Consider the following 15,730-nt stretch of genomic DNA (forward strand, 5'->3'; position numbering starts at 1 on the left):
TTAAATGTTTTGAAGAGTGTTTATTTGGAAGTTGTATCCAAGTTTTCTACCTATGGTCTTTGGTCTTCCCTAACACTTTGTACTTTATTTGTGCTATAAGTACAATTGTTGTAGAAGCCCAAATACCAGGTTCATGTACCTGCCGTATAGCTGAGGCCGAACACTGCGACATAGGTGTCTGGAGACAGAGAAAGGTTTATTCCATTTGGCCAAAGCAAGAAGACAAGACAGCAAGATTTCTCAAATCCCCTTGACAAAGAGATAAGGAGAGGGTTTTTATGCAGCTGACGAGTCAGGGAAGGGGAGTTTTGGGGAATGGAGGGAAAGTCCGTGTGTCTTCCGTGTCAGCTAACACTTTGAGCAGCCAGACCTCCGGGTGTCAGCACCTGGTCGCAGCACTTTCAAGGCATTCACTCCGTCTGCAAACATTTCTCATGACCCTCATGTTATCTCCTCCCGTTTGACAAAGAAACAGTAGATCAGCAGTTTATAATGATGCTGTGGGAACAAGAAATAATGGGTACAAAGCGAGTGGTTCACAGGTGCCAGCCAGAGAGGGCCCGATCAGAACGTTCATTATTTCAGTCACTCACTGAAACATGCTGAGTGCTGAACTCCCAAGGGGCCCCGTTACTCAGCCTCGCATCCCTTGACTGGGATAGGTTCTAAGGAAGGTGTCCTTAGGTGATTTCACACCCCTAGATGGTACAGCCCACTACACACCCGGGCCACGTGGCACAGTCTATGGCTTCTGGGCTATAAACCTGTACAGCAGGTCACTGCTCTGAATCCTGCAGGCAACTGTCACACAATGGTAAGGATTTGTGTATCTAAGCATAGGAAAGTTACAGCAAAAACACGGTATCATCATCTGACGAGGCCCCTGTTGAATATGCAGTGCATCATTGACAGAAATGTTGCTATGCAGTGCATGATTGCATGTAAAGAATTTAGTGAAAGTGTTCACTGAGGCCCAAAGAGATGCACCCAACAACGCCCTCCATTTGGCCCTGATGTGCTGTAGAAATCATATTTTCTAGCCGTACCCTGACATTATAAAGGCTGGGAGGCACCGCACTAAGGGGCATGGAGGCGCTCTCCCGCGCAGACAGGACTGATGGAGCTGCTCACCCTTCGGGCAGAGCGAGGCGAGAACCCAGGCCTCTGTGCCCACAGAGAAGCCGATCGTGCTGCCTCAGGGGAAGGGAAAGGACGCATAAAATGTCACCCGGGCCTTTTCTCCAAAGAGAGCCGCGAGGCTTGCTCCTTCCTCACACTGCCCTCTCAGAGCTCACCTCTCCTGGCACAGCCTGGTGCCAACAAACATCTTGCAAGCACTGACTGAGCCCCGGCCAGAAGTCTGGTTCTGTTCCAAGAGCTGGGAACCAAGAAGGGAGCAGAGAGATAAAACTTCTGCCACAGGGAGTTTATTTTCTAGGTAGGGAAACAGACCAAAATACATGCAAATAAAACCAGCGGAAAGCAGCCCACTGATGTGCTGGTCGATGTCTCACAGCAGCTCTGGGGGATGGCGGCCCCTGACCTGCAGCACTGGCTGATTTCTGCGGTGTGAGTCCTCCCACTACAGCCACCTCCAAACTCCCTGTGTGAAGGCACTGACCACGGAGTGGGGAAGGGGCCTCACTGCTGGCCCTCCTGGGCTGCTACGAGTCGGCTCAGGCACACCTGAGAGTTCCACAGTGACAAGTTACAGGAGAAGGAAGGTGAGCCAGGAGTTGCAATGTTTATGGGGAGAGATACATTTATGGGGAGAGATACGGGAGGTGTCACTAAGAAAGTGCCATTTGATGGCAGAGCTGCTGTGGAAAACAGGATGCCTGCTCCTCCAAGAGCCAAACAGAATGACCACATGACCCCGCAATCTCCTCTCCACGTACCTCCCAAAGAAATGGAAAGCAGGGACCCAAACAGGCAGGGGCACTCCCCTGTTCACAGCAGCATTCTTCACAAAGCCCAAGAGGCAGAGACAATGCAGGGTCCGTGAATGACGACTGGATAAGCGAAGCGTGGTCCCTCTGATAGTAGCAGAAGACAGATTCCTAGGCAGACTGGGGCAGGTCCCCAGTGAAGCCCGACCTTCAAGCCAAAGATAGCCTGAAGCTGGAAAACCAAGCTGCCAGTTCCAGGTTAAGTCCACGACCTTTTAGCCAATCGAATGGTGATTTTTTTCTAGGCCCGCCCATGGGCCAATCAGCACACACTCCCCCTTTCTGAGCCCATAAAAACCCTGGACTCAGCCACACAGCAGGGACTACCACCTTTGGGTAGAGACTACTCACCTTCAGGTAGTGGCTGCCCACTCTCAGGTCCCCTCAACGCTGGGAGCTGTTCCATCATGCAATAGAAGTTTTTTTCTGCCCTGCTCACTCTCTGGTTGTCTGCATAACCTTATTCTTCTGGATGTGGGACAAGAACTTGGGACCTGCAGAACAGTGGGTGTGAAAAAAGGCTGTAACACTGTAACCCTCCCTCCTGCTTGCTGAGCAGTGGAGGAGAAGAAACTGCTGGCTGCCACACACCCGTTTGCTGAAGTTGCGGGCGGCAGGAATGAACTAGAGCTATGGTGCTTCCCAAGAGCCCAGACATCAGACTCCCTGAACCAGGGCTGTAGCACGCCCTGCTCGCCAAGTCACAGGTGGTGGGAACGGTTGAGCTGTGACACCCTTGGGGCTCTGCGGTTCCTGGTGTCTCTGAGTTTTGGGTGCCACCACGTTCCCCTCATCCAGACACCGGTGCCCAAGGCAGAAGCGGGTTGCGGCATGCCCGGCCCAACCGCCGGCTGAGCGCGGATCCTGTGGCAAGCGTGGGATCTGGGCCGGGGTGCAAGCCGAGCACAGCCCACTGGGCCGAATGTGCAGAGTATCACCAGCAGTGATCCTTGGGCCGAGTGAGGCCAGGCAGGGGCGCCAGCGGCCATGGAGGTCTCCGGCTGGTGAAGTGGCACAGAAAAAATCCTGTGCCACATCCACACAATGGAGCATTCTTCAGCCTTAGAAGGAAGGGAATTCTCACACCTGCTACCATGTGGAGGAACCTTGAGGACATTAGGGTCAGTGAAATAAGCCAGGCCCAAAAGGCCAAATCCTGCATGATTCCATTTATACGGGGTCCCTAGAGGAGTCACATTCATAGAGATGGAAAGCAGAACAGTGCTGCCAGGGGCTGGGGAGTCCGTGTCCAACACGAACAGAGCTTCAGTCTGGGAAGATGAGAAGTTCTGGAGATGGAGGGTGCTGATGGTTGTACAGCAGTGTGAGTGTACCTAATGCCACTGAACTGCACACTTAAAAACGGCTAAGATGGGCTGGCCGCAGTGGTTCACACCTGTAAGCCCAGCACTTGGGGACGGTGAGGCAGGCGGTTCACCTGAGATCAGGAGTTCGAGACCAGCCTGACCAACATGGCAAAACCCTGTCTCTACTAAAAATAAAAAAAAAAATTAAAAAGCCAGGCGTGGTGGTGTGTGCCTCTAGTCCCCAGCTACTTGGGAGGCTGAGGCAAGAGAATCACTTGAACCCAGGAGGCAGAGGCTGCAGTGAGCTGTGATTGCACCACTGCACTCCAGCCTGCGTGACAGAGTGAGACTATCCTGTCTAAAAAAAAAAAAAAAAAAGGTTAAGATGTTAACTTTATGTTATGTATATTTTACCATAATTTTAGAAATCAATTTTTTACAAAGAAAGTTCCATCTGAGTAAAGCCCAGGCAGTGGAACAGCAAAGCCCCTGAGGCAGGAGGTTCCCAGCACATTGAGGAACGGCAGTAAGAGCCGCATGGCTGGAGTTGGCAAGTGCAGGTGAGGTGTGGGGTGGGGACAGGGGGACACCTGTGGGTGTGGGGGAGGAATTTGCATTTTATTCTGAGAGGGACAAGGAAGTCACGGGAGGGTCCTGAGCACAGCAGCGACGTGATCTGACATGGTTTGAAAGTGCCATCCTGGCTGCTACCTGGAGAGGGAGGAGCTGGGGGAGAAGGTGCGAACCCACCAGGAGCTCTGCACTAGTACAGGCAGGGAAGGACGCAGCCTGCAGTGGAGGTTAGGGCTGATCAGACTAGAGATGTGTTGAAAATGGAACCAAAAGCCTGTGCTGGCAAACTGAACAGGGTAGGACACACAGCGGGGTCCAGGCGTGAGCACTGTCGGTCCCGGCCACGAGAGAGCCAGCACCAGGTCCTGTACTGACCACAGACACGTCACTGCCCCAAGACAGGGCGGTCGTGTGCTGCTCAGATGGTTAAAACAGAAAAAGAACATTGCCAGCAGAGGGAGGGCCCAGAGACTAGAGCAGGATCTCTCTGCCTCTTACTTTACACATTAGAGAAAGGAAAGGACTTGTGGAAAAATACTAATTTCATTGCACTCACAGAGTAGAGAATTTTAAAAGAATGACGTGTGTGGCTTTATCTGGTGAGTCACATGTCATACAGGGAAGAACGGTCGGCCTAGAGTCAGAGGAGCTGACTCGGCTGCAGTTTCCTCCCTGTAAAATAAAACAAATGGGCCTTGACAAAGACCTTCCCGGACCAAGCTTGCGTCCACCGCTCCGAGTCCCCTCCCCTCTGGGACCAAGCTTGAGTCCACCCCTCCGAGTCCCCTCGTGGACCAGGCTCTGACCTTGGGCTCTGTCCTGGGCTGGCTCCGTTTGAGCAAATCCTGCTGAGCCTGCTTGGGGAAACCCACCCTGACTCCTGACGTTTCCACTTAGGAATTTCTGTCCACAGGCCCCACCCCTGCTCCGGGGCTGTCAGCTCCCACCCATCCCTGTACTCGGATTTGAGCCCCATCTCTCTCCTTTTCTGCAAAACCTCACTGGAGTGGGCCCTTGAATAATGCCTCTTCACACCCTTAACAAGAATTTCCTTTTTTTCTTTACCAAGCATCCCAACCTACCATTTCAGCCTGCTCAGGCTGCTGGGACAAAATACCACAGGCTCGGGGGCTTGAAACAACAGAAATCTATTTTCTCCCAGTTCTGGAGGCTGCAAGTCTCAGGTCAAGGTTCCCGCTGGTTCCGTTTCTGCAGAGGCTCCTTCCTGGCTCGCAGAGGCTGGTGCGTGGTCTGTCCCGGGAGAGTGCCCCTGCAGGCAGGAGGGAGCACGAGCACTCTGGGGTCTCTCCTTATAGGGACACCCATCCCATCGGGTCAGGGCCTCCCCACCCTTATAACCTTAACCCCAGTACCTCCTTAGAGGCCCCTCTCCAAATGGCCACGCCAGGGATTAGGGGTTTGACATGAATTTTGGGGGATCCATTCAGTTCCTAAATGTGATCCCCATCAATTTTCTTCTGGGTTTCAAAATGTTAGGTTAAAGCATGTTGTCTACCTAAAAGGAGCACACTACATATTATACGAATCTCAGATACACACACTGTGCCATGTCACAGAGTTTCACAGAGCAGATGGGAGCTGCAAAGACTGGGGTGGGATCTGAACACCTCAGCTAAGCATGTGTCCACCTGGCCACTGGGGTTTCTGCTGGTCAGAGTCCCACAGCACCGATGCCCTTTACCTGCCCTCTTTGAAGGCAGACCTTTCGAATATTTTTTATCAAATATTTATTAACAGGTATTACAACATGATTCAAAGATCAAGGTAACATATAAAAAGGCTAGGCACAGTGGCTCATGGCTCTAACCCCAGCGTGTTGGGAGGCCGAGGCTGGAGAATTGCTTGAGCCCAGAAGTTGAAGACCCGCCTGGACAACGTAGTGAGACCCCAGCTCTAACAAAAATAAAAATTAGCTGGGAATGGTGGCACACACTTGTAGTCCCAGCTACTCAGGAGGCTGAGGCTGGAGTATCACTTGAGCTCAGGAGGTGGAGGCTGCAGTAAGCTTTGACAGCGCCACTGTACTCCAGCCTAGGTGACAGAGCAAGACCGTGTCTCAAAAGAAAAAAAAAAAGATGAAAGAAAATCTTTTTGGCTGGGCACGGTGGCTCATGCCTGTAATCCCAGCACTTTGGCAGGCCAAGGCAGGCAGATCACCTGAGGTCAGGAGTTCGCGACCAGCTTGATCAACATGGAGAAACCCCATCTCTACTAAAAATACAAAATTAGCTGGGCATGGTGGTGCATGCCTGTAATCCCAGCTACTCGGGAGGCTGAGGCAGGAGAATTGCTTGAACCCAGGAGGCGGAGGTTGCGGTCAGTTGAGATCGCACCATTGCACTCCAGCCTGGCCAACAAGAGCGAAACTGTCTTAAAACAATTTTTTTTTTTAAGATAGCATACAGGCTGGGCACAGTGGCTCACACCTGTAATCCCAGCACTTTGGGAGGCCGAGGCGGGTGGATCACATGAGGTCGGGAGTCGGAGACCAGCCTGGCCAACATGGTGAAACCCTGCCTCTACTAAAAATACAAAAAAAGTAGCCGGGCGTGGTGTTGGGCACCTTGTAGTCCCAGCTACTCCGGAGGCTGAGGCAAGAGAATTGTTTGAACCCAGGACGCAGAGGTTGCAGTGAGCCGAGATGGCACCACTGCACTCCAGCCTGAGCAACAAGAGCAAAACTCCATCTCAAAAAAATATATATAATATATATATATAAAAGATAAAAAGATAGCATACAAAGACGCACACCCCAGCAAGTCTCATTACCGCCCTGTTCCCACCCACAGCATCCTCTCCCCATTCCCAGTGTAATAGAGTAATACTTCACTGTTTGTGAATTTTTATTTATCCTCTTTGACACAAAAGGCAGCCTGCTGTAACATGAATCAGGTACTTTCCTTTTTCCACTTAACAGTGCCCAGAGCACCTTCTGGTCTGTGGGTACTTATGGGGTCTGTCACTCTAACGCTGTTTATTCCACGGCCGCTTCAGGTCCCAGTATAGTTTCCAGTTCTCTGATATTAAAAACCTGGTCATCTTTTATTTTTATGTGTGCAAGGTGTATCTACAGCATACAATCTGCAGAGTGGGGACTGGTGGATTAAACATCAAAGCATTTGTAATTCTGAGAGTGGGCCACGCCTCTGTCTGGTGTTGAGTGGTGCCCATCCGCACTCAGCACCAACACAGGTGAGCACACGTTTCCAGGCAGCCTCAGCAACATATGCACTGTTGCTAATATCATACAGAGAAATGATGTCTTGGTGTTTTAATCTGCATTCTCTCGTGAGTAAAGCCGAGCATCTTTTCATTCCTAAAGGGCCATGAGTATTTCTTTTTCTGTAAACAATTTGGCCAATCCATTCTTCTGAGTTGTTAGTTTTTTTTCAATTTCTAGTTCTTATATATTAGGGAAATTAGTCCTTTGTGATATGAGTTGCAACTTCTTTTCCTAGTTTGTTTTTGCTTATGGCTCTTCAAAACCTTTTTATTTATACGTAGTCTTCTTTCATGATTGCTGGATGTTAAATCCTAGGTTAAAGACCCTTGTTTACTGTTGAGGTACTGCTTTTAATATACACGAATCTGTGCATATTTAGGTTTAGAGAACAGCTCTGTCAGCTGCGGGCAGAGACAGCGGTCCACTTGCCCTGTTTCCCACTTCATTCATATTTGTCTTTGTCCAAAACCCTACCACCATATACTGGCGGCTTCCCGTATCACCAAAGAATCTTAATTTGGGGGCGTATTTTGATGAAAGTTGTTCTTTGACAAATACTTATGTCAACACAATATCAGAGTCACCTTGTGCCAATTCCTGTCTCTCAATGGGCAATTAAGAACCAAAGCTGCTTGAACGAGCTGGCCAGCATAGTCAACGCCTTCTGTGTGCCAGGAGACACAATGCAGGCAGATGCAGCCGGCCCTCCCCATGTTACCCCTGAGTGTTTACGAACTGAGGAACCACGACCACCACGATCATTGCTACGTGTTTTGTTCTGATGACATCCTGAGTTCTGAATGTCAGCTCATCACGTTATTAAAAAAGGGGCTTTAGTTGAGTGACCTATTCCTTCTTGCTCCAGAACTACTAGAATATTAGAATTAGGAAAAAGACCAGAAATCTACCCCGAGGCCCTCCTTTTCAGCCACAGCATCTGTGGCCCAGACTTGCTCAACTTGAAATGAACATCACCTGAAATCAGGAGTGCAGCTTTCATTGGTTCCTATTTACAGTTACCCAAGCTGTCCACCAGCCAGGAGGGCTTTTTCTTTCTCGTTTTGTTTGACCTCCGGCTTCGTGCACTTTTGTGCCTGTCCTACAAGATGGCAGAGTGGCTACCTTCAGGCTTCAGCAATGGGGTGACACCGTGACGCTCCAGTACCGGCAGACACCAGGAGGGGAGTTCTGCACAAAGAACATTTCTTCAACGGCCTCTATTTGTGCGGCACGAACATCCTATTAAAGCAGCACCAGTTGAAAGCTTATATATTCCACAATATGTAGCACAATCTGATATGACAGTCACTCAAATATTTTGATTTGGAGCTGATGAAGATGCAATTATATATCATTGTTAAGTTTCTAAAGATATAAAAAATGCAGCTGATTTTTTGATTCTCAGTAATATATTTTCTTTTAATAAAAAAAAAATTGCCCCCTAAAAATTTAAGATTCCTCTTTAAAAGTGGTTGGACCTTTCCTTCCCTCCGGCTTCATGCACTTTCTGCTGTACTGACATCACTTTTGTTTTTTGTTTTGAGACAGAGTCTCACTCTATTGCCCAGGCTGGAGTGCAGTGGCACAATCTTGGCTCACTGCAACCTCTGCCGCCTGGGTTCAAGCAATTCTCCTGCCTCAGCCTCCCGAGTAGCTGGGATTACAGGCACCTGCCACCGCGCCTGGGTAATTTTTGTATTTTTAGTAGAGATGGGGTTTTACCATCTTGGTCAGCCTGGTCTTGAACGCCTGACCTCGTGATCCACTTGCTTCAGCTTCCCAAAGTGCTGGGACTACAGGCGTGAGCCACTGCGCCCAGCCAACATCATCTGTGTTGTGAAAATCCCACAGACCGTAAAGTTTCTAAAGGCACAACTTTTCATCTATTTCCAATTCTGGTTCAATTTTTTTTTTTTTAAATCACAGATTCTCAGAAGACAGAGGCAGCAGCAGGAGCATGCTTTTTGAATCTTCTCAAATCCCCACCTAAAAACAGAACTACTAAACAGCAAAACCAAAAAACTTATGGACATTTGTAACAGAATGAGGTGACAAGTGTTGACAAGGATGTGGAGTGAACTGGAACTCTCCTGCCTGACTGGAGGGAATGTAAAGTGTAAAGTTCACACTTGGAAAAGTTTCACAGTTTCTTAAAAAGCACACACCAGCTGGCTGGGCTCACACTGTAATCCCAGCACTTTGGGAGGCCGAGGCAGGCGGATCACGAGGTCAGGAGATTGAGACCATCCTGACTAACACAGTGAAACCCCACCTCTACTAAAAATACAAAAAAATTAGCCGGGTGTAGTGGCGGGCACCTGTAGTCCCAGCTACTCGGGAGGCTGAGGCAGGAGAATGGTGTGAACCCGGGAGGCAGAGCTTACAGTGAGCCAAGATCACGCCACTGCACTCCAGCCTGGGTGACAGAGTGAGGCTCCATCTCCAAAAAAAAAAAAAGAAAAAAAGAGCACACACCTGCCATATGACCAAGCATTCCATTCCAAGGCATTTACCCAAGAGAAACAGAAGACAAAGACGAGGATATAAATGTTCACGGCAGCTTTATTTGCTTTATTTTTATTTAGAAATTGGAAATAATCGAAATATCGGTCAACAGGTAAATAAATAAACTGTGGTATATCCATGCAATACAAAATGTGGATTATTGATGTACACAAAATGGGTGAATGCCAAAATAATTATGCTGAGTAGAAGCACCTCCCCCCACAGTACTTGCTCTGCGATTCCACTCAGATAAAATTCTAGAATATATAAATTAACCTTTAGTGAGAGGGAGCAGACCAGTGGTTGCCTGAACATGGAGGACACGAGGGACGGTTTAGACCGGGGTGTGAAACTGCTGTTGGTGGTGATGGACATGTTCTGGCGACAGCTTCACAGGCAAATGCATCGGTCACTTCACGTATGTGCAGTTCATTACCTGTCAGTTACACCTCAACAGAGCTGTTTTAAAAAGCAAGGTGGGGCCGGCTTTGGTGGCTCACACCTGTAATCCCAGCACTTTGGGAGGCCAAGGAAGGAGGATCGCTTGAGGCCAGGAGTTTAAGACCAGCCTGGGCAACACAGTGAGACACTGTTCCTATTTTAAATAACAAAACAAAACAAAAGTGGTACAATAACAACTTTTAAAACTCAAAAAGAAACAAAGAAAGAGATAAAAGAGATTCAAGAGACAGTGGCAAACACTGAGAACAGCCAATTTAGATTTCAACATACAGATAACAGGGATCCCCACAGAAAAAAGCCAAAGCAAGAAAAATGTAACACTAAACTCCAGTTCAAGCAAATCTTCTTAAAATAACAGATATGAAGTACACATAGAAAGAGCACACCATACGCTTGCAAATATGGACCAGGACAACCAATACCAACACATGACACATTCGAATAAAACGGCCGACTTGACAGAAAAAGGAAAAAATCCTTTGGGCATCTAAGGAAAAACAGCATATGACTGTCAGGGGAAGAAAACAAGATTCATCAGGCTTTTCATGCATCACTTTATGCTGGAAGAAAACAGAATAAAACAAGATACTCAAAGAAAATCTGGGCCAAGAATTTCGTATCCAGCAAAACTGAATTCAACATCAGAAACTCAAGGAATACTGTCCCCAAGATGACACTGACTATAGACTGGTTATGAGACCTGAACACACAGAAATGAGTCAATGGTGGTAAAAAGGAGCAATTTTTCTGACAACGTAGACACAGTGCTGTTTTCATCATCACAATTAATGCTATGGTATTAGTATTTTTTTTAAATGCTAAATGCTAAAGAGGAATAAAACAAGTGAGTGATTAAGGGATGGATATTCCATGCCATTGTCCTGTGTCTTGAGAAGCAGGATTCCGAGTGCAGGAGACACAGACATCATATAGAGGAGGCTATGTAAAGGCCCCAGGACCCTGAATTTGTATTGGGAATATCAATATAGGCTCAGAAAATATTCTTCCTTTAAATATGTGTGTGCAATGTTTGTATTTTTTTAAAGCTCCGTCCAAAAATCTAGAAATAATGACCAACGCAATAGCAATGAGCATCCTAAACTGGATCTGAAATACCATCTCTACCAGAGACTCTGGGAAAAATAATGGATTCCAAGTGTTAAACGGAATTAAGTTTGGCCTAAAACTGCCTCTGTACATAGTGACTTATAACCTCACTTAATGTATAAGCAAACTGGGACCTGACTTGAGAGTACACTTCTGTAACAAGCAGCAGAGTCTCACCAATCACATGCTGAAGGCTCCCAAAACATGCCTATGTGAGGTGGAGGCTGACCTGCAGTCAGTCTGGCCATGTACATGTGTCTTTCCCTTCCTGTGGCTATAAATAAATACAGCCTGCACACAACGCACAGGAGAACGTTCTGAACCACTTTTGGTCCTGAGTGCTACCCAGCTGAAGAAACTATTTTCTGCTCAATTAAACTGCTAACTTGTCTAAAGTTTTTCTTTTAAGACAGGTTTGGAGCAGAAGCTCTATAAATTGGGCCTAGAGCATCTTGACATGCCAGGCTGCAGGGAGCTATCAATGACTGTGCGTGTGGTCTGTGCACACATGTATGCACACATGTGCACACTTATCAAAAGAAAGCAAGAGCCAAGCTGAAGAGGCTCCCTCTCACTGACCGAATAAGCTAGTCTGAGCTAAATAAAGATAAAAATCACAACGGATTGAAACCCACCAAGTATGCTTAACTCCACAAATTCTTTTTTTTTTTTAAGACAAGGACTTGCTGTCGCCCAGGCTGGAATGTGGTGGCATGGTCACAGCTCACGCATCCTCGACCTCCTGGGCCCAAGCGATCCTCCCATCTCAGCCTCCAGAATAGCTGGGACAACAGGCAGGCACTACCACACCCACCTGATTTTATTTTAATTTTCTGTAGAGACAGGGTGTCACTATGTTGCCCAGACTAGTCTCAAACTCCTGGGTTCATGTGATCCTCCAGCCTCAGCCTCCCAAAGTGCTGGGATTACAGGCATAAGACACCATGCCCAGCCCATGAATTCTTGTATATATGTAAAAACCCTTCACCACTCACCTTCCTTGACAGACAACTAATGCATTATCTTAAAAACTTAGTGTACAAGAGCAAAGAATCAAGCATTTATCCTGCCCTTCCTATATGAACTGTACCACTGGGTAACCAGATAAGTATAAAAAAGAAAACACTTTCTTAGAAAACCATTCCAGCTAATAAAGGCAAGCAAAACGACAGAATGAGAATACCACCATTTTGCAACCCCAAATAATTAATGGATCTTGGCACTGAGCATCAGCTGCCGTCAACATGGTACTTTCCTGAGGAAAGCTCCTAACCGCCTGTTCTCCTGCCAAAGGGATCAAATTTGAGGCTCATCAAGCCTCTGGACCCAGCTGCCAATGTGCAGGAAACATAGAGGACCATGCTGAACTACACCATGACCACGTGGTCAGCAAAATCTACACTGTGGGAAGCCATGGGACAAACAGCCCAGGCTCTTCAACAGATAAACGGCAGGGAAAACAGTGAGGCCGACGGGACTGCAAATGGACACTGAAGTAGATAAAAAAATAAACAAAAAAAAGCAGACAAGACTAAACTGCCATCAAAAAACCAAGAAAGTCATTTCTGTAAAAGTCAGGATTACTTGTTGGGGCAAGGAGGGGGAGAAGAAGAGGGCTGTGGCTGGAGGGGCACTTGGGAGAGCCTCCTGGGGTATCTGGCAAAGTACTATTTCTTCACCAGGTGGTGGACACAAAGGTTATTCACCTTACAATCATAATCATTCAATAAGCTATACATTTGTTTTGTGTCACTTCCTGTATGTTTTTATAATAAAAAGGTTTAAAACTAAATAAATAATCATGTCAAACTTTTACTACTTTTTTTTTTTTTTGAGACAGAGTCTCACTCTGTTGCCCAGGATGGAGTGCAGTGGTGCAATCTTGGCTCACTGCAACCTCTGCCGCCTGGGTTCAAGTGATTCTTGTGCCTCAGCCTCCCAAGTAGCTGGGACTACAAGCCCGTGCCACCACACCTGGATAATTTTTGTAATTTTAGTAGAGACAGGGTTTCGTCATGTTGGCCAAGCTGGTCTCAAACTCCTGACCTCAAGTGATCTGCCCGCCTTGGCCTCCCAAAGTGCTAGGATTACAGAAGTGAGCCACTGTGCCCAGCCGGTGTCTTACTTTTTTTTTTTTTTTTTTAATTTGCACAGTTTTTAACGAAAGAGCCAAATAAATTTTTGAAAGTTTATTTATGCTTCTTGGTCTTTATGAGTCGCAGCTGTTCCTAGAGAATGGCCTAGCAGCCAGGGTCGCCGCAGGCAGGCTTTGCCCTATACTAACTGCCCAGCAAGCAGGCACATGGGGCTGAGACCCAGCACACATCCTGCCCACTGAGCTGTCCGCCCAGGCCCTGGGCAGCATGTTCCTTTAATGTACCCATGGGCACAAGTCACCTATACAAGCAGGAGACTCAAACCTGTCAACTGGACGGTAAATGGATGCTTTCAGAATACTTCCAGACTTCTGAGTTGCATCTTTTAACCAATGGTTTTTTGATTTCTTATCAAAATATAAGCCACAGCATTTTAGGCCATTTGCCTTGCTTGCCTGCAATAAAACAAGCAAGGACAGTATTGAACCCAGTAAACATAATGTGGAAATCTCACATAATTCTCCAATCTCAAAGATGTTCAATTTATTATATACTTAACCATTTTTTATAAACACATGTCACAGAAGGCCACTGTGCCTGATTCCGTGTGAAAGACGCATCTGCCCATCACTGCAATGGTCCTACCTGCAGGCTATTTTCCACACCAGTAAGTACAGGCAGCAAGACAGCCGCTGGCTCAAGTTCTCCCAAGGACTAAAGTCACATGGCTCAGTCTTCCGATTGTTTAGCTCCTTCTCTGGCTAATCTGTCAGCTTCTTCATTGCCTATAAATCCCGAATGACCAGGAACATGCATCTGTTAAGATAAATGTTTTCCTTTTATTTTTACTCATCTTTACATAAGCAACACATGACTATATTGTCATCATAAAAAACCATTCAGAACAGACTGCACAGCATAAGCTCAACTTCAACGCTCCTCTCCCCAGACATGATCCTCAACAGCACGCTGTCCATTCTTCATGCGTTTACGCAATGGATGTGATTTACGAACATTCCATTTTGTTTTTTCACAAATTGGATTTTACCGTTCATGTTGCTATTTCCTCCCCACTTATCAATGGGACTTGATAAGCTTTCCAGGCAAAACACATGTATGTACAGATGGGTGGACGGATATGTATGCAACACACACACACGCTTCCCTTGCAGTGCTGTCAGAAATAATGTACTTATTTAACCACTGTTTACATTTATGTTGCCAAAGCAAATTTACACATCAGGCTACCAAACTATTATCAGTGGTTCCAGGAAGGCAGAACAAGGCAGGGTTGAGACAGTGGCTGCAGTGTAATTTGTTCTCTATTGCTTGAAAAAAACTTTTTAATAAACATGATCTATGATTTTAAAAAGTGCTTCCATCTTGGAATAAAAGTTCTATTACCAAGGCTTTAATCATACAACCTTACTATTGTTTGAAACAAAATACACTGATAGTTTTATTTAACATTATGATGCATTCCAAAGAAATGAACAGGGTGACATACAGCTGTCATAGTAATGCCATGTGCCCAGGTTGGGTGTTACTTCGTGTTCTTAACAAAATATAAGGATTGTAGAACATCCCTCAAACCACACTGCCTGTGTATTCTATGCCTAGTGACACTCTCACTAGAATTGTATTACTTGTGGTTGCAGCGAGCCGAGATTGCGCCACTGCACTCCAGCCTGGGCAACAGTGCGAGACTCCATCTCAAAACAATAAAAAAAAGTTTGACATGATTATTGATTTAGTTGTAAACCTTTTTGTCATAAAACAAAAACATATAGGAAGTGACACAAAACAAATGTAATCCCAGCACTTTGAGAGGCCAAGGCAGGTGGAATGTTTGAGATCAAGAGTTCAAGACCAGCCTGGGTAACATGACAAAACTCCATCGCTACTAAAAATACAAAAATTAGCCAGGCGTGGTGGCATATGCCTGTAATCCCAGATACTTGGGAGGCTGAGGCACGAGAATCACTTGAACCCAGAAGGCAGAGGTTGCAATGAGATCACGCCATAGCCTGGGGTGACAGAGTGAGACCTGTCTCAAAAACCAAACCAAAAAACTGTATTACTTGTATGATAAGGAAAATAATCAAATTTGTGTATGTGGGTGGGTTTGTTTTGTTTTTCTGAGACAGGGTCTCACTCTGTCGCCCAGGCTAGAGTACAGTGGTACAATCTTGGCTCACTGCAACCTCGACCTCCCCAGCTCAAGTCATCCTCCCACCTCAGTGTCCTGAGTAACTAGACTACAGGCATGTGCCACTACCCCTGGCTAATTTTTTATTTTTTCGAGAAACAGAGTCTCCCCATGTTATCCAGGCTGGTCTCGAACTTCTTGGCTTAAGTAGTCAGGCCATTTGGGCCTCCTAAAGTGCTGGGTTACAGATGTGAACCACTGAGCCCAGGCTCACATATTTTTTTTTTTTTTTTGAGACGGGGTCTTGGAGTCTCATATCGTTGCTCAGGCTGGAGTGC

General features: G+C 46.7%; 1 protein-coding gene across 13 annotated transcripts in view, besides 2 other annotated features; it reads right to left on the reverse strand.

The window, feature by feature from the left end:
• The window catches only part of RNASEH1 (ribonuclease H1), a 26,521-nt gene continuing 10,791 nt past the window's right edge, over positions 1 to 15,730 (reverse strand). For 10 of the 13 annotated variants that reach the window (NR_165465.1, NR_165468.1, NR_165466.1 and 7 more), the window contains one exon: positions 9,618 to 14,059. Coding sequence is in view for 6 of the 13 variants with exons in the window: in NM_001378272.1 (NP_001365201.1) it covers positions 13,973 to 14,059 (87 nt within the window). In the remaining 7 variants the exon portion in view is untranslated. Of the gene's footprint in view, positions 499 to 1,295; positions 2,444 to 4,385; positions 4,502 to 4,911; positions 5,100 to 9,617; positions 14,080 to 15,730 lie in introns of those variants that run through there. The other 3 variants (NR_148534.2, NR_148532.2, NM_001378271.1) reach the window with 3 other exon arrangements.
• Positions 4,080 to 5,279: an enhancer, noted in NCBI's record as "MED14-independent group 3 enhancer chr2:3583482-3584681 (GRCh37/hg19 assembly coordinates)". NCBI's record gives its function as "activates an origin of replication core promoter dependent on BRD2, BRD4, P300/CBP and CDK7 cofactors, and independent of MED14, by STARR-seq in HCT116 cells {active_cell/tissue: HCT116}" and the evidence as "EXISTENCE:reporter gene assay evidence [ECO:0000049][PMID:35650434]".
• Positions 4,187 to 4,481: an enhancer, noted in NCBI's record as "tiled region #11889; HepG2 Activating DNase unmatched - State 1:Tss". NCBI's record gives its function as "activates a minimal TATA promoter and a strong SV40 promoter by Sharpr-MPRA in HepG2 cells {active_cell/tissue: HepG2}" and the evidence as "EXISTENCE:reporter gene assay evidence [ECO:0000049][PMID:27701403]".

Source organism: Homo sapiens, chromosome 2 (assembly GCF_000001405.40).
Source record: "Homo sapiens chromosome 2, GRCh38.p14 Primary Assembly".
NCBI lineage: Eukaryota > Metazoa > Chordata > Mammalia > Primates > Hominidae > Homo > Homo sapiens.